This window comes from Homo sapiens, chromosome 6 (genome assembly GCF_000001405.40).
Source record: "Homo sapiens chromosome 6, GRCh38.p14 Primary Assembly".
In the NCBI taxonomy this organism is placed as follows: domain Eukaryota; kingdom Metazoa; phylum Chordata; class Mammalia; order Primates; family Hominidae; genus Homo; species Homo sapiens.
The window spans coordinates 132,660,093-132,686,684 of NC_000006.12; the positions used below are offsets into that span (position 1 = coordinate 132,660,093).

Genomic DNA, 26,592 nt, shown 5'->3' on the forward strand with positions numbered 1-26,592 from the left:
AAGCGATTCTCCTGCCTCAGCTACCCAAGTAGCTGGGATTACAGGCGCCTGCCACCACACCTAGCTAATTTTTGTGTTTTGTTAGTAGAGATGGGGTTTCACCATGTTGACCAGGCTGGTCTCGAACTCCGGATCTCAGGTGATCCACCCACCTAGGCCTCCCAAAGTGCTGGGATTACAGGCGTGAGCCACTGTGCCTATCCTATTTTATCAGTTTTTACACTTAGACTTTTGAATACAATAAAAGTTGATTAAATGAAAATTATTTTAAAACAGAAAAGAGAAAAAAACGAAGATATATAAGAATAAAGCAAAGAATAAAGATAGGGAAACGTAAGTAAATCAAAAATTAAATATAAAAAAGAAAAAGTGTTTATATATAAAACTTCCAAAATGACCCTCTCTACATGGAACCAGATCCTCCAATATGGCAAAACGAAGAGCTGGACAAGGGCTGTTTCTCTTCCATTACTATCTGTTACTCTGCATGGGATTAAAGCATCATTATGACACATTGATTATCAGGCTCGGTTCTTCACCCTCCTCACATCCTTTGTCTTCCCTTCATTGGGGGTAGAAAATACATTTTTTGCCCTTTGAATTTGAACTTTGCCATTTGACATGTCTTGGCCAAAAGAATGTGAACAGAGATAAAAATGTTCCAGTTCCAAACCTAGTCTTTGGGAGGACATGTTGATGAATGTCCTTTATCCTATCACCAGGAATACAACATACCCGGCTCAGCCACTTGTCCAAGGAAGATGAGAGACATGTGGAACAGTCAGGGGCATGAAGACCTGCAGCACCTGCAGACCTTCATGAGCATAAGTTGCTATTATTTTAAGCTATCGAGTTTTGGTGTCATTTGTTACACAGCATGATCAAAGCAATATTAACTGTGTCAATTGTATTTCTGAAGGAAGCCATGGAGATCTGCTGCCCCATTCTCCTGCCTTGGGATCGCTAGTGAAACACTGCACCCCATAATGGGTCAGCTGTGACCTAAATAGCCATTATTAAAAGCAGTGATAGAACAAGCAAAAGGGCTTACAGTGAAATTACCCTTTACTAAGTGAATGTAACTGCTGCTTCAGAAGTCTCCAGATATTAAAGGCTGGTTCAAGAAATAATATCCAAGTTCAGTTCTTGTTAATAGTACATAGAAAATGTCATTCATTTTTCTCAAAATGAGTTTAATGTTGCCTGAATCATACATATTCCTGTCTTACCAGGAATCAGTCTTCTTTGCAGGCAAGCACAATACCTCATGTATAAGAGTTTATTAAGCTCTAGGAAATCAAGGCTCTTGTCTGCTTTGTTCATTAGTCTCTCGCCATGGCTTAAAACAGTGCTTGACAGGCCGGGCCCTGTGGCTCACGCCTGTAATCCCAGCATTTTGGGAAGCCGAGGCGGGCAGATCACGAGGTCAGGAGATCAAGACCATCTTGGCTAACACAGTGAAACCCCATCTCTACTAAAAATACAAAAAATTAGCCGGGCATGGTAGGCGGGCGCCTGTACTCCCAGCTACTCGGGAGGCTGAGGCAGGAGAATGGCGTGAACCCGGGAGGTGGAGCTTGCAGTGAGCTGAGATCGAGCCACCGCACTCCAGCCTGGGTGACAGAGCCAGACTGCGTCTAAAAATAAAAAAATAAAATTAAAAAAATTAAAAAAAAAAACAGTGCTTGACAAACCGTAGATGCTTAATAAATATTGGCTTACTGAGTAACATTGAATTACTGGATAAATTAATTATTCATTTTTAAAAGCCTTTAAATCAAAGGATTACATTGATATGGAATTCTCTTAGTTTCACTGTGCTAATTACAAAACTGCACGGGCAGTAAATCTTCTCTTCATCTCCTGCTCTTTCTTTTAACTGGAAAACTTATTTAATTGGATAATGATTTTTTCTTCTAGGAATGTAGAGTTAATAGTGAGATCGACATACAAATAAATATTTGTTGCACAATAGAGGGATTGCTAAATGGAAATATAAAGGCTGTGTTATGAGAGAGCAGAAGAAGGATTTGGAAACCCCTCAGGGCAGCCAGGACAGGCTTCATGCATGAGGCCGCATATAAGCTGAATCTGCAAAGACAATCCTCGGAGACTTCACAAACCACCTAAATTTAGAATAGGAAAATACACACAAAAGCTCTTGTTTAATCTTAATAAACTAATTTCATAGTGGACAATTAAAGTCCTTTAGTTAGTAACAATCCTGTTTTTAAATGTTATTCTTATTTCAGCATCTTTTTTTGTCAACAAAACTGTCTTGAATGTTTACTGTGGGCATTCGAAATAAAGCTGCTTTTTCGTTTCTGTTAAGCACACACACACACACATACCCCTAAAAAAAATAATAAAACCTAAAAATATCTTAATTCCCATTCTCTGAACCCACTGAATTTCAAGCTAATTATCAGCTCCATCACCAAATGGGTCTTAGTGACGGCATGATCTACATCCTCGGACATGCATGCCTACTGTCTACTGCTTTGACGATTGAATAGGACATTCCTGTAGATATTGTGAACTCCATGAAGGCAGAGATTTGGTTTCTGTTGTTTCTTTTTTGAGACAGGGTCTCCCTCTGTTGCCCAGGCTGGAGTGCAGTGGTGCAATCATGGCTCACTGTAGTCTTAACCTCCCGGGATTCTCCCACCTCAACCCCCTGAGTAGCTGGGACTAAAGGCATGCACCACCACACCCACACCCAGCTAGTTTTTGTGTTTTCTTTTTCTTTCTTTCCTTTTTTTTTTTTTTTTTGTAGAGGAGAGGTTTTGCCATGTTACCCAGGCTGGTCTTGAACTCCTGGGATTAAGGGATATACCTGCCTCGGCTTCCCAAAGTGCTGAGATTACAGGCATGAGCCACCGCACCTGCCTGAAGACAGAGACTTTGTATGCTTTGTTCACTGCTATAACCCCAGGGCCTAGCATATAGCAGGTGATCCCTAACTACTAGTTGGTTGACTGACAGATTTCTACCAGATTAGCTGAATACTCACATCTCTAGCACAAAGGAGAAATCTCAGAGCTTGCAGTATTGATTCAGAAGGCATTCACCTAGTGGTAATAGTTAAAGTTGTCTGTGGCAGAAGATAAGAGAAATCCCAGAAGGGGAAAGAAAGAGGGAGGAAGACAGAACTGTAAGAAATGTCAATATATAAGTAAAGTACTTCCAGATATTGGGATGATAAAAAAGAGACCAATAAAGCCAAGAGGGGAAGAAGAATTTTAATAAAGTTATGGTGTAAAATGTTACTGAGTGTTAGAGTAAGGATAGAGATCAAGCATATGGTCAAGGATTTAAAAAGGTGTCATTAATGGTTTGGAAGCAATGTTAGTGGAGTATTGTGGACCATAGAGAAGATATTGTATGTTAAGAAAATAAAGGTAGCCAGGGTAAATAAATTTTTTGAGACATATGACAATGAAAAGAAGGTGAGAAATGGAATAATATTTTGAAGGAATGGGAAGTACAGGGAAATGTAGAGCAAATACAAATTAAAAACAAGAGGTTTCATTTTCCCTGTAGAATATAAGAAAAGAGATTTTCCCTGCTTTCCCTTTTTCAAAGAGTCTTTATATTAGAAAACTTGTGCTTTAAGGTCTTTCTCTGTCTCTTTAAAATGTAGGTAAATTTTTTAATGCTAACTCAGCCTCCGGTCAGCATTATGATCCAGGAATGTCTTTCTCAAGGACTGGGAACCATCTCTTAGAAATGTAAACATTAAGGAAGATAGCACCCTGTCTCCCAGATTCTGTGGGATGGCAGGAAACTAGCCTCAGCTTACTACTTGCTCCAAGTTGCAAAACTCCCTCTAGTCATAAAGAGTAGTTGATTTTTACCTTGGTTAAAACCAATTAGCTAACACAGATGGTTACCCCAACTACCATGTGGGTTTAGGATGAATTATGTGTAACAAATGGTGCTGTCAAGTCCTCTTACATAAGCACTAGTTATAGTATATTTGAAGAAAATGTGTGTATTCATCAGGGTTCTCTGGAGAAATGGAACAAATAGGATGTTTCTATGGTCTAAATGTTTGTGCCCCTCAAAATTCATTTGTTCAAACCTAATTCCTAATGGGATGTATTAGGAGGTGGAACTAATTAAAACCTTTGGGAGTGATTAAGTTATGAAGATGGAGCCCCTATGAATGGAATTAGTTCCCTTATAAAGAGCTAGAGAGAATAGAGTTCTCCCCTTCTACCATGTGAGGACACAGAGAGAAAGCACCACCTATGAACCAGAAAGCAGGCCCTTACCAGATACCAAATATACCAACACCTTGATCTTGGTTTTCCCACACTCCAGAACTGTGAGAAATAAAAGAAAGAGTTCTATTAAAAGGAATTGGCTCATGCATTATGGAGGCTGGCAAGTTCCAGGATGTTCAGGGTGAGTCGGCAAGGTGGAAACCCATTAGAGTTGATGATGTAGTTCCAGTCCTAAGACTAGCAGGCCTGAGACCCATGAATAGCCAATGTCTCAGTTTGAGTCTGAAGGTAAGAAAAAGCCAATGTCCTAGTTCAAAGCCAGTCACTCAGGAGGAATTCTCTCTTACTTAGGGGAGGGTCAACCTTTTTGCTCTATTCAGACTTTCAGCTGAATGGATGAGGCCCACTCATACTAGGAAGACAATCTGCATTACAATTTAAGTGCTAATCTTACCCCAAAACACCCTTACAGAAATACACAGAATAATGTTTAACCAAATATCTGGGCACCCCATGGCCCAATCAAGTTGACACACAAAATTAATCATCACAATATCTGGAATGGATTGCATCTGCTTGCCTATATAAAAGAATGAGGTGTCTTTTTGTCTTCACAATATCTTAGTGGATTGCCTATGATGTGCATCACATAATAAAAATGTTTTCTTTCTCTTCTACCTTTGTGGAATGGTTTTCTGGGTTGGAAGGAGATTTTGTTTTAAATTATATTTTCCCAACAGAAGCATTTGTTAAGTTTGATTAGAATAAATGTGAAAGGGTTTGTCAGACAGCAGGATGAACCAGAAGGAAAGAAAGAGTGAAGATCAAATAAGATGTATTTGATGGAGCATGGGTTCAGGGTGATGGAAGAAGTGATTTTACAAGAAATACAGGAGGCTACAAGCCTTAAAAGGAAGAGAAACCCTTCCCTTTCTTGCTCTTCCTCCTCTTCCCAACTGTATTAGTTTTCTGGGGCTGCCATAATAAAATAACACAGAATGGCTTAAATAACAGAAATTTATTTTCTCATAGTTCTGGAGGCTGGAAGTCCAAGATCATGGTGTCACCAGGTTTGGTTTCTCCTGAGGCCTCTCTCCTTGGCTAACACATGGCTGCATTCTCACTGTGATTTCACATGGTCTTACACATTTTTGGTGTTTTTTGTGTATCCAAATTTTCTCTTCTTCTGACTCCAGTGCGATTGCATTAAGACCCACCCTAGCAGTCTTATTTTAACTTAATCACCTCTTTAAAGGTCCCATCTTCCAATACAATCACATTTTGAGGTACTGGGGGTTAAAACTTCAATGTATGAAATTTGGGGGACACTATTCAACCCATAACACCAATGTATCCAACTCTACCCATCCTTCAAAACTCAATTCACTTGTTACTTTCACCTTACAATTAAAATCAGTTTCTCTCATGCTTTCACTTCCTTAGAACTTTATCTTTCTTTTTCATATGGCCTTGTAATACAGTTAATCATTTTTATTTCTTAGGAATGTATTTTTATATACCTCATAATGATGTACTACAAACATTTTCTTGCATATACTTATGTGCAATATTAGCTGTATTAATGGTTTTGTGAATGGAACTGATATTTGATGATGTTAACTTTACTTGGACCTTGGAATTTTTATTCGCTTCAATGCTCACTGTGTTTGCTCAAAATATTACCTCTCATTAGAAGATATATCTGGGCCTTAGAATCTTTACCTGTAAAGTTAGTAGATTCGCATAGATAATCTCCTCTGTTTCTTTTATCTCTTCTATTCCATCCATCTATTATTTCATTCATTCACTTATTCATCCATTCAGGAATTATCAAAGAAGTATCTTCTATTCCTAGATGGCAGACGCAGTGCTCAGTGTTTTGAATACCATGAACAAGACCAAGTTTCTACCTTCCAGGTCAAAGGGTTGACATTCTAATTTTGACCTGCAATCAAATTCAGATGACTTTGTCTTGCCCTTCTTGTTCCGCAGCATTCCACTTCGTAAGGCCCATTTTGCAAAGTCATGCTGCAGGGACTCTTTTTTAGATTACCTTCCTCCCAGCTTATTTGTGATCAATCTCTTCAGTTTTTCCCACAGACTAAATATACTGCAGTCCTCACGCCTCTACATATCACTTCAATACAACTATACCACAATTAAACATTTAGAGAGATCATGTGATATAACTTGAATACCCCATGAACCTAAGTTATCTACCCTAACTCATCTTGCCCAATAATAGGCAAGTGTACCCAAAGTTACCTCTTTAGAACAGCTTCTTTGGATTAAGGTATTTTTTCTGGAAGTTTTCTTTTAAAATGCAGGTATCATATCCCCTGTTGTGCTTTATTATAATAATTGATTGCAGCTGTATCCTTTATTTCACACTTCCCACAGTGTCTTCAATGTAAAGCAATAAATGAAGAAGAAATTCTCTGAGGACTACACCCACTAATATTAACAGATATTTTAGCTCAAGTTAGCTTATGACAACAGAGTTTATGGGTAACAAAGTATTAATATAAGAAGAAGAGTTTGGGAGCTTGGTGCACTTTTTATTTTTGAATCAGTCTCAGGAGATTAAGGAGTTTGGTGCCCTATAAGTGAAGAGGTTGGTTCCATTACGGGGACTGAATATCAACTAAGGTGTACTTAAAATGCTCTGACTGTTAAAGAGGTACTGAAAGCAGGTGCACAGGCCGGTGTGTAACTGGCACAAATATTGACTGTTTTCCATCATAATAGAAGAAAAGTAGCAAAATCAGCCAGCACTATTAAAAAATCAAATCCTTTCAGGTGATGATAAATTGTGAAATGCATAACCAAGGAGTAAAATGTTTACTTTTATATTTATAGGGGTTTTGTTTATTACACAAACTAAGAATCAGCAATTTCTAGAAAATAAATATCTTAAGCTTTGTAGGCCACAGATCTGTGGCAGCTACTCAACTTTGCCATTGTAATATGAACGAAGTCATAGTCAATAGTAAATGAGTGAGTGCAGTTGTGTTCCAAAAAAACATTATGTACAACAAATAGTTTACTGACCCCTGATATAGACTATAGAAGAGATACTATGAGAACTTCCTACCATTAATCAAAGCAAGAAGATGGGAATTCAAAGCCATTTTCCTGGTAAGATTCTTCTGTCCATTCCACTAAAAATACAAAAGATAACTAAAGTAAAAATATAATTTGCAATATTAAAAAAATCAGTTGACTGAGGCAAAAATAAGGAAAAGGATATCAGTCTTTACAATTGCATTAGATGCTTACATTTAAGCTTAGCTATTTTCTGCTGGCATAAAAAGAAAACAGTCTTATCTCCACAAAACACTGTATATAAACTTCTTTATAAGCTTACCCGGGATGTAATTGGTTATTTCTTGGAAACTGTTCCAGAAGTGTTTCAGGCTTCAGAATTCTGTTATGAGGGTCCTTCCTCTTTCCTGTTCATCCCTCAATTTTTTACAGTAAAGTTAGTGAAGATTTTGTCTGACCTCCTTCCACCTCCCCTTTCTTCAGATGCTCTCTTCTTTTCATTTGAGAGTCCATCTTTTCAGGAATACAGTTGTCAGGGGCCCCAACTTTTCAGCAGCAAAATGAATATGACCATGGCTAGAGATGTTCACCATTAAAAGTACACAGGCAAATCATAAGGTCTTCCATACATAAAGAAATGTCTCCACATGTGGAATTTGGGGCTGGCAGGAGAAAGGTCTTGATACAAACAATGTGGCTTAAATCCCCTGAAATCACATTGGCATAGACCTGGCTTTGTCCAGAACTGAGTGCTTCCTGGCATGGGACGTGGGATATGGTCAGTTGTGCAGTTCTATTCCTATTGTGTATAAAGATGATCCAACAGAACTATCATGGCTTTCTAAAAAGTATTCTGTAAGCAGATAAATTCCCTTTACTCTGATTTTAAAATAATTTTTAGCAAGTAATTTATAAGTAATATTAGGTTTCCCAAGCAGTTTTATATCATGAAGGTACTGCTGTTCTGAAATAAGTATATCCGACTGGCTTAGTAGTAAGCAATCAATCACTTACGGAGTGCTTACTGGATATCTGGTCCTGTATTGCATTTTCAAATTTAATCCTCTTGCCAATACCAAGAGTCTGGAAACATTAATCCCATTTTTGTTAAAGAGACTGATGCTCAAGGAAGCTAAGGAATTTGGTGATTATACACAGGCCTATCTCCAAAGTTCTATCTCCTTGTGCTGCTATTTTATTTCTCCCATGTGTGTAAATGACTAGACTCATTCTGGTTTAGAAATCATCTTTGGTGAGTTCTGTTAAAAGTGGCTCAGTCTCACTCCTGTAATCCCAGCACTTTGGGAGGCCGAGGCGGGCAGATCACGGGGTCAAGAGATCAAGACCATCCTGGCCAACATGGTGAAACCCGGTCTCTACTGAAAATACAAAAATTAGCTGGGTGTGGTGGTGCATGCCTGTAGTCCCAGCTACTCAGGAGGCTGAGGCAGGGAGAGTCGTTTGAACATGGGAGGCGGAGGTTGCAGTGAGCCGAGATCTCACCACTACATTCCAGTCTGGGTGACAGAGCAAGACTCTGCCTGAAAAAAAAAAATGGCTCAGTTTCCAATAGTCTGATCATATCTGATGGAATTTAGAGAAATGATTTTCTGAACTTAAAGTATTGAGAACCAGAACTGAAATAGATTCCCTATGTAAGACAACTTTATATCACTCTATTCCTGACTACAAAGGGTAGTAAATAATATATTTCCTTAAAGATTAAGCTACAATGCAGTTCAGCATTAATAATTATTATGATAACTAGAGAGTGTATAAATACAGAACATGACAATAATGTCTTCTACTAACATTGCAAAAGATATGAAGCCATTTCTGGGTTAGGAATCAAACAGCAACTGAATTGGTTCACTGTGTAGAGAACTTCATGTAGATCCCTACATTTTAGATAAAATATTATAACGGGGCACGTCTATCTAAATATCTTAGCACATCAAGAGCATTTACATAAAAATATCTTAGTATATTTGGAATATTTCTGTATAAAAGGTTTATCACAGCCCCTGGAACTCAGTAGAAGCTCAGTAAATAATAGTTAAGGAAGCTAATAATAATATGGAGGTTAAAAAGCAAAGTGGTCCTCCAAAAATTGTGTTCAGTTCAGAGCCCTGAGGACAGACCAATTGTTAGCAGGTCTCATTCATCTCCCAAAACTCCTTTCAGAAAACAAGATGACTGATAAATAAACTCATCGTGATACCACCTACTCTGAATTATTGCAGAGTGGAGCGTTAGAGGATTGTCTATATATCCATTCGTTGGCCACCAGAAATGGAGGAGCATGTCAACAAGCCACTCAACTTATACATTTCAGGAAGAGTATTTTCTCATTCTGAACCATCCCTAAGAAACTACACCTTGAATGCTAATTTCTAATTGAACTTTGAATCTCTTACCCAGATATTATATTTACATGTACCTATAGAGGGCAGCCTTCTACAAATTTTTGTAAGACGTGGATTTTTATCCTTCCTCCTCTAGAAAGGAGTGACCCAGCATGAAACAACCTTTACCATTGCTTGGGAGAAACTAGAACAATTTACAATAGCGGATTTCCCACCATGTGTTATTCAGACCCTTGTTGTGCATCTTGGGAACTCTTGACGGCAGAGCCTGAACATACTGGGTGTGCAGGTGCAGCCTAAGCTTGGCAATTGTCAGTAATAAGAAAGTAACAAGTAACAAAGAAGAAGAATAAGCAAAAGGAAGAGAAGGAAGAGGGGAGGAAGGAAGAGGAGGGGAAAAGGAGAGGAGGAGGAGGGAGAGGAAACATGGAAAGAGAATGAGGAAGAGGAAGAGAAGGAGAAAAAGAAGGAAGGAAGGGGAGGAGGAAGAGCTTTGACTAACCCTGTACTAGTCTCTAGGCTGAGGGAATTACATGAAATCCCACGTTTATTCTCATAGCACCTCTAAATAATAGACGTTGTTTTTAACCATTACTTTACCAAAAAAAAAAAAAAAAAAAAGAGGAACTGAAAATTAAATCAGTTGCTACTAAGAAGCAGCTGTGGAATTTGATCCCAGATTTGTCTGAATCGGGTTCTAGCTCCTAACCACTACCAAGAATTTGCAAATAAAAATTAAATTAGGCTAGGTGCAGTGGCTTACACTTGTAATCCCTTCACTTTGGGAGGCCAAGTCCAGTGGATCGCTGGAGCCCAGGAGTTTGAGACCAGCCTAGGCAACATGGTGAAACCCTATCTCTACAAAAAAATACAAAAATTAGCTGTGTGTGGTGGTGTATGCCTATAGTCCCAGTTAGTTGGGAGGCTAAGGTGGGAGGATCACTTGAGCCCAAAAGGTCGAGGCTGCAGTGAGTCGTGTTCATACCACTGCACTCCAGCCTGGGTGACAGAGTCAGAACCTGTCTCAAAAAAAAAAAAAAAAATTAATTTAAATTAAAGAGTTTCCCATCTCTTTAGCTGATTTCTCCCACAGATCCTTAAAATACCTGGAGAGGGAAACTACATGAGGCTACTACATGAATGAGAACTTTACTTAACACCTGTCTATGAATGAATGGGTAGACTATTATTAATTAAATGCTAGGCAGATGAAACAACACAGTAACATTAATTTCAAATCATTTTCAAAATGGTGTTTGTAATTGTCTTAATCTATAAAAATAGTATAACATTTTATCAGCAGTTTCTGAAGATAACTTTCACATATTTATTTCCAGTAAAATTAAATTACAGGTGTGTATTTTAGGAAGTTATTGTCAGGCTATCAGATTTTATTTTCTTACCACAGTGCTTTTGTAATTGATCTCCACAACAACTAGTTTTCCAGTACTAGCTAGGTACACATGACAGCAGGCTTTTCAATTAATTTTTACTCATATTGAGATAACAAACCCTCTGTTAGTTCTATTTAATGGAGCAAAACAAAATTTTACCAAAAACAGGAAGAAAAAAAGTCAACTGGTTCAAAACCAGTTTCATTTAATCAACATCATAATCTAATAAAACAGAATTTCTAATTCTAATATTTTTAATATCTCCAAAGTTTATCCAGTCAACATGTCTAGAATGCATCTTGTCCAAATATTAACTATTTATCAGATAATCTACTACCATAGTGACACCTGGGCCCTATTTGCTTTGCCAGGAGTCCAAAGTTTCCAGAAAGTGTGGATGATTAAATAGCTTTTCATGCTGATAAGCACCTTTGCTGTATTTCTATAGCTGGACCACCAAACAGAACTAATTTCAAAATAGCAAGATTAAAAGAGCTCACTCTTCTGTTAACGTATTTTCATTGATCCCTTTAAATTTATTTTCCAAGCCAGAAAAATTCTCTTTCTTTATGTTGCCAGTCTTCTCCTAATGTCCCAAGAAAAATTCTTATTCTCCACACCACATCAACAGATATGATTAATTATGATCATTGTTCCACATATATAAGTTTAAATATTAATTGTGTACTTTCACCTTAACCCTCACACTGCATTGTATCAAGGTCTGTGCTATTAAAGCTACAAGATTGACTTTGAGGAATGTGGCATATCTCTCTTAGAAAGGTAAGGATGCAATATAAATTTGGCTTTAATAATTGTTAAGCAACAAATCAATATCCAAAACTTAAACGGGCTTGACATTTAAGTCAAGCACATAAGAACATTGAGTTCTTAAAGAAGCACAGGGTAGCATTCAGGTAGTTGCTAGTAAGAAAATACTAGCAACATAAAGTGGTAGAGAAAGCAGTAAGCATGAAGTTGAATGATTCTGGTTTAAGGATTTGATACACATAAGTTAGGAACTTTGAACGTGACACTCTGCTCTCTAATGTAGAATGGAGAAAAATGTGCCTACCTTGTGAAATATGTAAAACTCATGTTTAAAATATCTTGTAAACTATAAAGCATTACATACAAAATGTTAATAATGCCTTTCCATTCTCTGGACAAGAGGATAAAGGTAAAATTGCCTTCAGATCCATGGAAAGGATAGGGAATGTATAGACCTTATGTCAGCCTTACCCTTGAAGGAACAGGTGGTATTGGCTTGCAATTAACAGGTAATAGGGCTGACAACAAAGTAATAGACCAGAAGACAAGTAGTGTAATGATATTATATGTTGGAGAATAAAAGAATGATAACATCAGCCCTGATGTGTCATGGCGGACATGCAGGGGATTACACTTCCTACTTCATTTAAATTTGGCATGGCCATATGACCTGCTTTAGCCGATAAAATATGACTGAAAATGACATGCATCACTCTGGATGAAAGCATTTAAGAGGCATGTGCAATTCCCCCATATTCTTTTCTCATGCTCCAGAAATTACGGAAGCACAGGTTGACAAGGAGGTGACACAAAATGAAAAAAGCCTGTGGTCCTGTGGGCATAGAGGCTAGCTGCCCTGGAGAGGACTCTGCGTAAGCAGGAAATAAGCTTTTGTTGTATTAAGCCATAAAATTTTTGGCGTTATTTTTTACTACATCACAACCTAGCCTATGCTGATTAATACAATTTTAAAGAGAAAGTATGGCATGGTCAAAAGGGATATACATTCTTGTTTGTTTTGAGATGGGATCTCACTCTGCATCCAGGCTTAAGTGCAGTGGTGCAAACTTGGCTCAGTGCAACCTCGGTCTCCCAGGCTCAAGTGATCTGCTCACCTCAGCCTCCTGAGTAGCTGGGACTAGGACTACAGAGCCATGTCCATGCCACCATGTCAAGCTAATCTTTTGTTTTTGTTTTTTTGTAGAGAGGGGGTCACGCCATGTTGCCCAGGCTGGTCTCCAACTCCTCGGCTCAAGCGATCCCGCCTGGGCCTCCCAAAGTGCTGGGATTGCAGATGTGAGCCACTGTGCCCGGTCTAAAGGGGATGTATATTTGAGGTAGAAGGAACTAGGCCTTTTATTCCAGCTCAACAACTTATTGGCTAACCTTGAATATATTACAGATGCCTATATAACAGTTTATTGGACTATGTTCCAATAAACCCATAATAAATTGAAGATATTATTAAGTCAAAAAAGTATTTAATACACATAACCTACCAAACATGAGAGCTTAGCCTAGCCTACCATAAATATGCTCAGAACACTTAACACTACCCTACAGTTGGGAAAGATAAACTAACACAAAGCCTATAATAAAGTGTTGAATTTCTCATGTAGTGTACTGAATACACTGTGGAGTATGGTATCAGTGGTTTACTGTTGTGATCACGTGGCTGACTGAGAGCTGCGGCTTGGCTCGCTGCCACTGTCCGGCATCATGAGAGAATATCATACCACATATCGCTAGCCCAAGAAAATATCAAAGTTCAAAATTCGAAGTACACTTTCTACTAAATGTGTATGGCTTTTGCATCATCGTAAGTTGAAAATTTGTAAGTCAAAATGTTATAAGTAGGGGACCATAATCCCTTACCTCTCTAAGTCTGAATGTCATCCTTTAGTTTTTATTATTTTGTAAACAGTTGCAACATTTTTTTTTTAGATTCAGAGGGTACATGTGGAGGGTTGTGACACAGGGTATATTGTGTGATGCTGAGGTTTCCGGTACAAACAATCCCATCACCCCAGTGGTGAGCGTAGTACCCAATAGTTAGTTCTTCAACCCTTGCCCCCTCCCTTCTCTTCCCTCCAGTAATCCCTAGTGTCTATGGTTCTCATCTTTATGTCCATGAGTAACCGATGTTTAGATCCTACTTATAAGTGAGAACATGTGGTGTTTGGTTTTCTGTTCCTATTCGCTTAGGATAATGGCCTCCAGCTCCTTCCATGCTACTGCATAGGACATGATTTTGTTCTTTTTTATGGGTGCATAGTATTATATTGTGTATATGTATCAATCATTATCCTTTTAAAATGAAATAAATAATGCTTGCTTAACAGGATTGTTCTGTGTGAGAAAGTTCCTAGTTTTCGTAGGTACTTGAAAAGTGCGTATTATTATTATACCTCAGCGACACTAAAACACACTTCAAATATATTTGAAACAAACACAATAACTCCTGTTAGGGCCACTACACATGTGTGGTAGAATGCACTGAGCAAGGTGCTGAGGGGCTGGTCCAGCGTGGGAAAAGAGCAGCCATCCTTTGGAAGGTGTGAAAGGTGGAGCATGCTTTGCCTCCAGAATGTTAGGGTGAAGGGGTCATGGAATACTGTGGGGGCATTTTTGTACTTCACAATTGTTTGGTCTTTTTCTTTCCTTTTTGCAATGTTGAATATTTTGCAGGACCGGGGGTTTAGGGCCAGTGAGAGCATCCTTCACTACACCAGCAGACTCCGGCAACTGGAACCCTCTCCAAGGACTGAGTGCTCTAGGAACCTCAAAGTTCTGTGTTGTTTTTATTTTTTTAAATTTTTATACAGATGTATTTGTAGAGATATAAGAGACTTTTCCTCTCCCTTGTTTTCTCCATTAACTTGAAAGTGAAAACTTTCAGCAAAAGAAGGATGAAAACACCACAGCAATTTTTGGGGAGGTTTGGCATTTTTTAAGAGAAATAAACAAAAAAGAGTGAATTGAGATGGAGAAAATGTCCTGAGCTGATGCCCACATTATCTTCTTTCCCTCGCCTCTGCTGGCTCCCTAAGTCTCTGTTGGATAATGCTTTGAAGCTCTCCTGTCATCACAAAGATGAATTTAGTAAAGAAAAAAGAAAAGGACCAAAAGCTGGATGAAGACAGTCAGTCTAACAGTACCCCACTGAGCATTCTCTGGTCCCACCTTCTGGGACAAAACCATTCCCCATGACAGTTAGCATTGTGTTATCATGATCATAGACCACATTCCTGAGCTCCCATCAGCTGCTCGGCTGGCCCTTCTATCCTGATCCTAGCACCTGGGCTCCACTCATCCCAGTGTCCTGTCTCAGAACTGCAAGAGAGCGTCATCAGTCCAGTGTACTCTTGTCTGCAAACCACCAAACACAGTGTCCTGTTGATCCTGCAATTATTGAAGTTTTAGTGGGGTACGAGCCAGAGCAGAGAAATCTTCCTCTCTCTAGCATCTGTGCCCCCAAAATGAATGACTCTAGTAAGCCCAAATTCTCTAAGTTTAAATTGAAACCACAGTCCAGGATTAGGAAAGCTCTAAAATCTTCATGCCTGGCTATGGATATTTGACAAATACAGTTGACTCTTGAATAATGTGGGTGTTAGGGGTGCCCATCTGCCATACGGTGAAAAATCCAAATGTAATTTTTGACTCCTCCCAGATTTAACTACGAATAGCCTACTGTTGACCAGAAGCCTTACCAATAACATAAGTGATTAACACATATTGTATATGTATTATGTATTATTTGCTGTATTCTTACAATAAAGTTTTAAAAATGGTATTAAGAAACCCATAGAAAATAGAAAATACAATTATCTGTCTGAAATAGGGGCACCTGCAGCTGTAGACCACAATCTATGGTCCATATCAGGCAATTCAACTTTTTCTTGTAATGTGACTTTTCTCTGCTTCTTGGAAGCATTTCCACCATCACTAGTGGCACTTCCTGTGGGTCCCATGGTGTTATTCAAGGTTTGTGGTATTGCACTAAACACAATGAAAAATACACAAGAACCCCAAAATCACTTTTTGCTGCAATCCCCAATTTGCTGAAGAGGAACTGCTCATGCAAAGATGATTAGTGCCACAGGGCATGAAGCAGAGTCTTGCAACACTTGAGTTCACCACAGTAGCAACAGGAAGGGGCAATAAAGTTATTACAGTAGTACAATATGTAATACTACAATAAATTTTATGTGGTAATGATTTAATACTGCATCTTTACATATGTTTACATTTGTCTTCATTGCAAATGGGATTATGTGTGGTCTGTAAGTGCATGTGTATTATGATAAATTTTGACTTTATATAATAGAGTTGCATATGTTTTATGGCAATCAATGATAAATTAGTTTCTACATATATTGTATGCATTCATTACTTATCTTTTTCTTAATTTTTTCAATATTTCTAAGCTATGTGGTTTGTCCGCAGGATTTTTCAAATTGTCACAAATCTCCAAAATATTTTTCAATATATTTATTGAAAAAATCTACATATAAGTGGATGTGTGCAGTTCCAACCTGCATTGCTCAAGTGTCAACTGTACTGAGCTATGAATAGAAAAAAACAGTGTAACAGACAGATACTCCTGAGACGCCTGGAGGCTGGAGGAGAATGAGATTATCACCTGGACATCACTGTTAAGCGGAAGTCAGCCCTCTACCACAAGCCAGTTGCTTTTCCCTGTAAGAGGGCATTTTTGAAGGCTGGCTTTTGAAGGAATATATGGTCTGTTTCCTGTGTCAATAGCACCACACCCAAACAAACTTTTTTTTTTTTTTTTTAGACGGAGGCTCCCTCCGCCTCCCGGGTTCACGCCATTCTCCTGCCTCAGCCTCTCGAGTAGATGGGACTACAGGCGCCCGCCACCACGCCCGGCTAATTTTTTTATATTTTTAGTAGAGACGGGGTTTCACCGTGTTAGCCAGGATGGTCTCGATTTCCTGACCTCGTGATCCGCCCGCCTCAGCCTCCCAAAGTGTTGGGATTACAGGCTTGAGCCACTGCGCCCGGCCTCTGTCATAGCACTTTTCTAGAAGTAGAAACACAGCTGACTCACGTTTTAGTCTGCAACTGTGTCCAAATGTGGGTCCCCAAATATGCTTTGGCCTGTGTGTGTGGCCATCAGTACATGTACATCTGTGTGTGCACGTTACTCTGCCTTGCCAATTTAAGAAACTTCATATTCAGTTTTTGAAAGTGCCAGGTTTTTATTGTATTTTGGAGAACTCTCATTAGTTCTCCTCCCCTCCCCTTTTCTTTACTCCTTCCCTCTCATCATTGTTTCACGTTAGATCTTGTTACTTTTCCATGACCTTCTCCTTGGGTTCACTAAGAACTCTGGATAAATAGTAGATCTCTGCTGGGCACGGTGGCTCACTCCTGTAATCCCAACACTTTGGGAGGCCGAGGCACGCGGATCACAAGGTCAGGAGATCGAGACCATCCTGGCCAGCATGGTGAAACCCCGTCTCTACTAAAAATACAAAAAATTAGCCAGGTGTAGTGGCACATGCCTGTAGTCCCAGCTACTCGAGAGGCTGAGGCAGGAGTCTCACTTGAACCCAGGAGGTGGAGGTTGCAGTGAGCCAAGACCATGCCATTGCACTCCAGCCTCGGAGACAGAGCGAGACTCCGTCTCAAAAAAAAAAAAAAAAAAAAAAAAAAAGAAGAAAAAATAGATCTCAATTTTGAAGGGTACAAGCTTTTGTTTATGTTTAATCTACAAGTTGCCATGATAAAAATGGTATACACAGTAACAGCACTATAATGCAGCACTATTAATTTATAGGTGCTTTCCTCATATTTTAAGATTGGTTTATCATTATCATCATATTTGAAGTGCTACAGATATTTAGATTTACTAGGTCCCATATTTACATAGCATTTTTATCTACTAGGTTTCATTTAAATTACATGAACCCCAAATAGGTAAGAATATTATTAGAACATAGATTTGTTTTTGCATTTTCTGTACTTAAAACAATAATTCCATTGCACACTAGAGCATGCTGCCTAAGTATTATTGTAAGTGTAGGATACTCTCCTCATCTAAGAATTTTACTCTCTTTTCAAAAACCAAAATTATGGTGAAAGGTAGGGGTCCAGTTTCATTCTTCTGCATATGGCTAGCCAGTTATCCCAGCACCATTTACTGAATGGAGAGTCCTTTCCCTATTGCTTATTTTTGTCTACTTGGTAAAAAATCATATGGTTGTAGGTGTGTGTATTACACTGTTCTTGCATTACTATAAAGAAATGCCAGAGACTGGGTAATTTATATGAAAAGAGGTTTTATTGGCTCATGGTTCTGCAGACTGTGCAGGAAGCACAGTGCCAGCATCTGCTTCTGGGGAGGCCTCAGGAAGCTTTTACTCATGGCAGAAGACGAAGAAAGAGCAGGTGCTTCACATGGCAAAAGCAGGAGCGAGGGAGAGTAGGGGGACTGTCACACACTTTTAAATGACCACATCTTGTGAGAACTCATTATTGCCAAGCAGCACCAAGCTGTGAAAGCCGCATCCCCATGACCCAGATGCCTCCCACCAGACCCCCACCTCCAGCATCGGGTATTACAATTCAACATGAGATTTGGGTGGGGACAAATATACAAACTATATCAGTGTGAAGCTTTATTTCTGAGTTCTCTATTCTGTTCCATTGGTCTGTGTGTCTGTTTTTGTATCAGTACCATGATGTTTTGGTTACTGTGGACTTACTGTAGTTTGAAGTTGGATAATGTGATGCCGCTGCCTTTGTTTTTGTTTATTTGTTTGTTTGTTTTGTTTTTTGCTTATGATTGCTTTGGCTCTTGGGATTCTTTTCTGGTTCATATGAATTTTAAAATAATTTTTCTAATTCTGTGAAAAATGACTTTGGTAGTTTGGTAGGAATAGTGCTAATCTGTAGATTGTTTTGATAAGATGGATTAAAGATTTAAACATAAGACCTGGGAACTACAAGAATCTAGATGAAAATGTAGGAAATGCCATTCTAGGCATCAGCCTTAGGAAAGAATTTATGGCTAAGACCTCAAAAGCAATTGCGACAAAAAAGAAAACTGACAAGTGGAACCTAATTAAACTAATGAGCTTTTGCACAGCAAAAGAAACTATCAACAGAGTAAACAGACAACCTACAGAATGGGAAACAACACTTGCAAACTGCATCTGACCAAAGGTCTAATAAAGGCTTATATCCAGGATGTATAAGGAACTTGAATCAACAAGAAAAAAAAACTCCATTAAAACTGGGCAAAGGACATGAACAGATACTTCTCAAAAGAAGACATCCAAGCAGCCAAGAAAGATATGAATAAATGCTCAACATCACTCATTATCAGAGAAATGCAAATCAAAACCACAATGAGATACAATCTCATACCAGTCAGAATAGCTATTATTTAAAAAGTCAAAAATAACAGCTGCTGGTGGGGCTGTGGAGAAAAGGGAACACTGTACTGTTGGTGTGGGAATGTAAATTAGTTCAGCCACTGTGGAAAGCAGTTTGGAGATTTCTCAAAGAACTCAAAACAGAACTACCATTTGACCCAGCAATCCCATTACTAAGTATATACCCAAAGGAGAAGAAATTGTTAAAAGACACATGCGCTCGTATGTTCATGATAGCACTATTCACAATAGCAAAGACATGGAATCAACACAGTTGCCCATCAGTGATGGGTTAGATAAAGAACATATGGTACATATACACCATAGAATACCACAGAGCCATAAAAAAGAACAAAATCATGTCTTTTGCAGCAACATGGATGCAGCTGGAGGCCATTATCCTAAGCAAGTTAAGGCAGGAACAGAAAACCAAATACTGCATATTCTCACTTTTAAATGGAAGCTAAACATTTGGTACACATAGATATAAAGATGGTAACAACAGACACTAGCGGCTACTACAGCTGGGAAACAGGGAGGGGGAAAGGGCTGAAAACTACCTTTTGGGTATTATGCTTATCACCTGGGTGACAGGATCATTTGTACCCCAAACCTCAGCATTACTGAATATACCCATGTAACAAACCTGCACATGGGCCTCCTGAATCTAAAATAACACTTGAAATTATTGAAATAAAAATAAAAGTGATACATTTGGAACATGCCCAGTACAACCACAGGACAGCGAAGCAGAGGAAATTCGAGGTATCGGCTTTCAGTATAAAATCAAAGTGATGTGTTTCAGAACAGATTTTGACGTTGACATGACTTTCTAGTTGACTTTTTTAGTATTCCTCTTGCTATTCAGAACATTGTGATTAAGAGTCAGTTTCTTTCACTTTTGTTATATACTTATATATTTATATATTTTTGGTATATATTGTGTATAAAACAGATTATTAGGAAAAAAATCTTGGTTTCTTCAAAGAATCCAGTAAAGAGGGTGATGTTTTTAAGACCCCTTTTCCTAGTGGTTGCACTTCATGAATTAATAATTCTGGAACTTATGCTGTTTATTTTGTTACCTTTTAATGTATGTTCCCCTACAAAGTAAGCTTCTGAAAAATGAATGCAAAAGTCCCACGGGCCGGGCATGGTGGCTCACGCCTGTAATCCCAGCACTTTGGGAGGCCTAGACGGGTGGATCACCTGAGCTCGGGTTTCGAGACCAACCTGACCAACATGGAGAAACCCCATCTCTACTAAAAATACAAAATTAGGCAGGCATGGTGGCGCATGCCTGTAATCCCAGCCTGTAATCCCAGCTACACAGGAGGCTCTGGCAGGAGAATCGCTTAAACCCAGGAGACAGAGGTTGCAGTGAGCTGAGATCACACCATCGCATTCCAGCCTGGGCAACAAGAGCAAAACTCCGTCTCAAAAAAAAAAAAAAAAGTCCCTTGTGTATATTAAAAGGAGATGGTTTTGCCACAAACTGTAGTTAAGGCAAACAGTTAACTTAAATTTACTATGGACCAAAAGTAGAGATTATTAGATTATTTAATTTAATTATTCAATGTATAGAAAGTTTTTTAGTGTAGTGCTTTTCAGACGTAACTATTGGGAGTGTATTTTGAAATACATATCACATATAGCAAAAAGAAAAGGAAAACAATCCTATTTTTTAAATTACATTGCAATATATACAGATATAAATATAAATACATATATTCACTATGATAGCATCCAAAATGGCCCCCATGAAGCCCCACCTCCTGATATTCTCAACTCTGTTTGATTCTGTCCACGTTGTGCCATTGTTGGTCCATGTGACCAACATCATGTGGAAGAAGAGATGTCACTTCTGTGATTAGGTTTTCAAAGACTGTGGCTTACATCCAAGTTCCCTCGCTCTTTCTCTCATGTGCTTTCTCTCTCAGTATCATTGCTCTAGGAGAAGCCAGATGACATTTTATGAAAGTTTTTCTAGCATCCTAAAGAATGGAGGCCTGGCAACCGCCGTGAGTGAGCTGAGAAGCAGATTTTCTCCAGCCCCACCCGAGCCTTGAGATGATGGCAGCCCTGGGGACAAGTTAACTACAACTTTCCAAAGGCCCTGATCCAGAACAACTCCACTAAGCCAGTCCCAGATCCTGACCCTCAGAAATGCTATAAGATAATAAATGTTTGTTGTTTTAAGATAATAGTTTGGGGGCAATTCATTACACCACAAGGGAGACCTACTATAGTTGACAACGTTGAGCAAAAAAGAAACACTTAGGATGTTTTTGAAGTTTTTAATAATTCAAGCCTATCACCAACACATCAATATGTTTTCTGTTTTACATTGAAATTATATGAGAATACAGAGAATTGCTCTGAGGATTCCTGTTTCTAAATACATTATGGGCTTTCTTATTTTCTATTAGGTCTTGAAAAAAAGCAAATGTCAGTTAATGTCACCCAAAAGAACAAGGGATTTTACTCAAATATTTCTTGGATGATATAGTACTTTTTAGGAAAAACATCTGCCACAAAAATGTTTGTCTCAAAATGATGTTTTGCTGGCATAGATCACTACTGCAAGTGCCTTGCTCTCCTGTGCAGAAGGGCATGCTTTGCACAGTGCATGGCTGTTATCGGTACTATGTAATTGTCCATCATCACAGCACTATGATATTAGTGCTCAGAGTCTATCAGTCAGTTGGGAGATATTTTGGCTTAAATGATGTTGTTTCACTGAGTTGTGTAATGTCAAGAGATTCTGCTGTTACTAAAATAGAACACACAATGCTATATTAAATATCTAATTTCTTAAAATGGGACTCTCTGGTTTTCTAATTCCAGAGGAATTCAATGATCTAATGGTTTCACTATCAATCCATCAGCAATCCTTCTCTAAGAGTGTCTATTGGAGTCTTGAGGACCCAGACCAGCTGAATATTCTTACCAGGTAAGCCTTTTGTTGAAGCTTCAGATTACAGTAGAAAACAGTAGTGGTGGGGAGAGGAACAGGAATGGGTCTTTGATTCATTTGCCAGGGCTGCCTAACAAAGTACCATGGACTGGGTGACTTAAACAATAGAAATTTATTTCTCATAGTTTTGGAGGCTGGAAGTCCAAGATCAAGGTGTTGGCAGGGTTGGTTTCTTCTGAGGCCCTCTCTTCTTAGCTTGTAAAGAGTTGTCCTTCCTCTGTGTCTCCTTATGGTCTCCCTTTGTGCCTGTTGTGCCCTACTCGCCTCTTCTTTTATGATCATCAGTCATATTGAATTAGGGTCTATCCTAATGACCTTATTTTACCTCTTTAAAGACCCTGTCTCCAAATACAGTCACATTCTGAGGTGCTTCAACATGTAAATTTTGGGGAGACATTATCAACCCACAAGAGAATCAAAATGTATTGTTTAGGTAAAAAACAAAAAGAGCAAACAAACAAAGTCATTGGAAATTTTCAGCAGAGCTGAATAAGTGATACGTAATATAATAAAAGTGGTAACAAGAGCAGCCTCCTTGTAAGTAAATTTTATGATAGTTCTTATGTTTTCTACCCGTAGTTTTTATTTCTTCTGCGTAAAAGATTTGTGATACTTATTTGATATAATTAGCTCACGTCCAAGAAAGACCAATGTTCAAATATAGTTTTTTAAATAAAATCTACATTAACAGATAATTTATTAAGTTTATATTATCTGGTGTGTGTGTGTTTGTCTAAATAAAGAGAAACTAGTAATTCACTTATACTAGAGGATAATATTAACCCGGACCAATCTTTCTTTTCTCATCCATCATTTTTTAAATTATCCCAAATAAAAAAGAGAAAAAGTCAATATTCTACCAACTTAATGAGCATACAATAGGTGCTATAACTATTAGCATTATTATTCTTGCTTGTGCTGTGAGGCCTGATGAAGCATTTGATGCCCAGTCCTTCTCATACAACCTCCCAAACAGAGTTACTGTTAAGACAGGTCCGGATGTTGGCTTCAGACTAAACAAGCGTCCGTCAGTTGACACCTGATTAAAACAAAAAAGTAGGCAAAGGCTACCTTCAAGTTTTACAATCCCATAAATCACTTTTAAAATTTACTATAACAGAATGAAGAAACAAAAATACTGGCCAAATTCCATTCTATCAGAAAAATTTGAAATGTTGCCAAGTACAAGAAAAATTGGAGCTATGAAACTGGCACTGATTCATTTATTAGTGAGATGCCCGTAATCAATGTCTTCTAATTTACTTACCTGTGGAAGCGCCGTAAGAGTTAATAAACACAAACCAGTGGATTTGGCAGTATACAGAAGAGAAACCTAGTCCTCTCAGACAAGATAAAGACTCCCCACAATGGCCCGAAGCAATTGACTAACAGGGATTTGAACTGAGCATCTGTCATCTCCTGTCTCTTGCTCACCACAACCTCCTCACCATTCCATTGTCCTCCCACACCCCAGCAGTGGTTTCTACCAGGAACGGGGAGTGGGAGGAGAACTTGCAGGAAGTCAGCGAAAGAATGTGGCTGGGCAGAGCACATGTGAAGCAAGGGATTATTTCTGAACTTTAAAAAGTTTTTGCTTTTTTGCTAACATCCGCCACTGTCAAATTCTCTCTTCTTCAGCTTTTCCTTGTCTCTTTTCCTTCTACCATCACACAGAGCCTTGACTCACTCGACGAGAGGGACTCCTTTCAACTTCCCTAGGCCATCACTCCCCAGTGGTCCTAAGGGGCTCCAATGGCACTGGTTCTGAAACTACTCTCGTTGAATCTTCTTTCTACTTGGAAGACTTTAAACTCCCTATAATCCCCAAAATAAGATATATATTTTTTTATTCTGAAGGACACAGTAATTATTATGTTAAGAATTTCCAGACAAGAAATGCAGCCTGCTCAATGTCCTTCATGATCCCCAAGGATAATCTTAACCTTTCTAAATGGAAATTTTATGATATTTGTAAGCACTTGAGCAGATTTTTATATCAAAAAGTGCTTCCTCTTACATGAAACTAATTGGCAATATTCGAAGATTCTTACCTGAAATTCTCCAGGTGCAAGCTGATTTTCACTCAGCAACACCTCAGGAAAGACATACTGGGTTCCGAAAGTGCCACTGAGGGAGAACATTTCAAACCTGGTAGAAGCTGTTTCAGCTGAGTCACCGCAAGTGTTTAAATTAGTCGTTTTACATTTCAACAGGGTACAAATCTAGGGAAGTCATGAAAACCAGTAAGTCATAAGAAAGTCATGTGGGATATGTGAATTTGCTTGATTTAATCATTTCACGGTGTGTACACATATCAAAACGTCACATCATACACTGTAAAGATATACAATTTTCATTTGTTAATGACAATAAAGCTAGGATAAATTTTAAAGATAAAAAATAGAATAAAATAATTAAATAAACTGCTAGATGCTCTTAAAAAAAAAACATGAGAAAGTCAACTGAAATACTCTCTTGATCTAGAAAAATGCCTATGCCACTTTATTTGGTAAAATAATGTTACTTCTTCATTAGAGTCATCCAGTTTATCACTGAATAATTAATACAACTAATAATAAAAATAAAGGGCTTTAAGCCCCAGTGCCTCCTGCAATTCACTGTCAAAAAGATTAGCCCTGTAAAAGCAATCAGATCCTTGGCCTATAGCCATGAACAGCTATATCTTCATTGTTCTCAAGTTACTAATGATTTTAATTATCAAGAATTTAAAATGTGTTTAAAGGTTTAATTTAGGCACCTGTGTAAATCATATCTTATTGCCTGTTTCACACAATAAAAGAGCTTCAGAGTTGTAATGAGCCCTAGAGTTGACCTAGAGGCAACCCCTGTAATCTGGAAAAGTCATATCCTCTATACTGCGCAAGAACTGAAACACTTCTCCATTAAGTTTTTCTTCCACTATAGTACGTAGCTATTTGAATATAAAATCTAAGTATGTGAGTCATCTCACCATGCAGATGAAAAGTTTCCAAAAGGAGATCCATATTCATTTAATGCCATCTGTACAGCATATTCCAAGTCACCTTCATCTCTTGCTTGACTAAAGCAGCAGCCGCTAACTGGTCTTATTGTTTCCACTTTGCAGGTGGAAAGTAATCACTTCAGTGCAAGTGTATTAAGATGGGATAGAAGTAACTTTCAGGTAAAGGTAGAATGAACATATGCTTCAATTTTATTTCCTACAATCCTTCAAAAGAACACTATTTTTTTTAACCCACAAAGGTAGGAAAATAGGAGGATAGACCACAACACAGTTTTAAAAACTAGGATGTTGATACAAAAAGTAGTAATTGATTCAGCAGACCCAAGAAAACCAGGTCCTAAACTAGCAGTAGAAAGAGCCAAGAATCCCTATCTACACTGCAAAGCACTCAAATTAATCACTGGGACTGCTCTATACCTAGAGCTAGGAGTAAAGTTGTGGCAGTCAAAGGAAAATAAATGAGCAGAAAGTTGTGAAGGATGCCTTGGATACTAAGTCCTCCAAAAAACCAGATAACTGATCCTCCCCTACTCCAGTAAATAACGGAGAATGTTTCCAGAGAGGGTAAAGTGGATGGTCTTTAGATGAAAGTTTAAGAGACATAGTTGAAGGGGATTACCTGAATAAATAACACTGAATGTTGAAAACGTTCCCCCTCCACCCCCACCCACACCTTGCAAGGCCATTTTCCTCACTTGGATCCCTAATGCTGTCAGCAAGGATTTATCTTTCAGGAATAGGGTTGCCAGGTAAAACACAGGACAAGACTCCCAGTTAAATGTGAAGTTCAGATACACAACAAATAATTTTTTAGTATAAGTATGTCTTAAATATTGAATGGGACATACTTACACTTTTTAAAAAAAATGTTTATCTGGGCTGGGAGCAGTGGCTCCCACCTGTAATCCCAGCACTTTGGGAGGCCGAGGCAGGCGGATCACTTGAGGTCAGGAGTTCGAGACCAGCCTGGCCAACATGGGGAAACCCCATCTGTACCAAAAATATAAAAAATTAGCTGGGAGTGGTGGCATGAACCTGTAATCCCAGCTACTCGGGAGGCTGAGGCAGGAGAATTGCTTGAACCCGGGAGGCAGAGGTTGCAGTGAGCGGAAATCATGCCACTGCACTCCAGCCTTGGCAACAGAAAGAGACTCTCTCAAAAAAAACAAAGTTTATCTGAACTTCAAATTTACCTGGAGATCCTGTATTTTTATTTCCTAAATTAGGCAACTGATTCAAGAAGGAAATTAGAAGAATCTTGAAACCTGGGAGACCTGACCATCCCAAGAGGAAGTCTCCAAAGACACTTACCTCCGATTTCCCCGCAGCAAAAGGTCCAGCTAGATCATTCTATCATGAAGCTCAAAATTGGCAAGTGTTACTCACATGGTCAGAAT

General features: G+C 38.6%; 1 protein-coding gene and 1 pseudogene across 1 annotated transcript in view, besides 2 other annotated features; one reads left to right on the forward strand and one right to left on the reverse strand.

Annotated features, from left to right (window-relative positions):
- Positions 14,793-15,291, forward strand: HLFP1 (HLF pseudogene 1; annotated as a pseudogene).
- The window catches only part of VNN1 (vanin 1), a 33,207-nt gene continuing 27,371 nt past the window's right edge, over positions 20,757-26,592 (reverse strand). Inside the window, exons 6-7 of the mRNA NM_004666.3 lie at positions 24,243-24,413; positions 20,757-23,230 (exon numbers count right to left, since the gene is read on the reverse strand). Coding sequence (NP_004657.2) covers positions 23,048-23,230; positions 24,243-24,413 — 354 coding nt within the window. The 3' untranslated portion in view covers positions 20,757-23,047. The remainder of the gene's footprint in view (positions 23,231-24,242; positions 24,414-26,592) is intronic.
- Positions 23,211-24,410: an enhancer, noted in NCBI's record as "MED14-independent group 3 enhancer chr6:133004442-133005641 (GRCh37/hg19 assembly coordinates)". NCBI's record gives its function as "activates an origin of replication core promoter dependent on BRD2, BRD4, P300/CBP and CDK7 cofactors, and independent of MED14, by STARR-seq in HCT116 cells {active_cell/tissue: HCT116}" and the evidence as "EXISTENCE:reporter gene assay evidence [ECO:0000049][PMID:35650434]".
- Positions 24,743-24,912: an enhancer, noted in NCBI's record as "experimental_89871 CRE fragment used in MPRA reporter constructs". NCBI's record gives its function as "activates a minimal promoter by MPRAs in K562 erythroleukemia cells, with activity observed for both the introgressed and non-introgressed 6:133006059 variant alleles {active_cell/tissue: K562}" and the evidence as "EXISTENCE:reporter gene assay evidence [ECO:0000049][PMID:34662402]".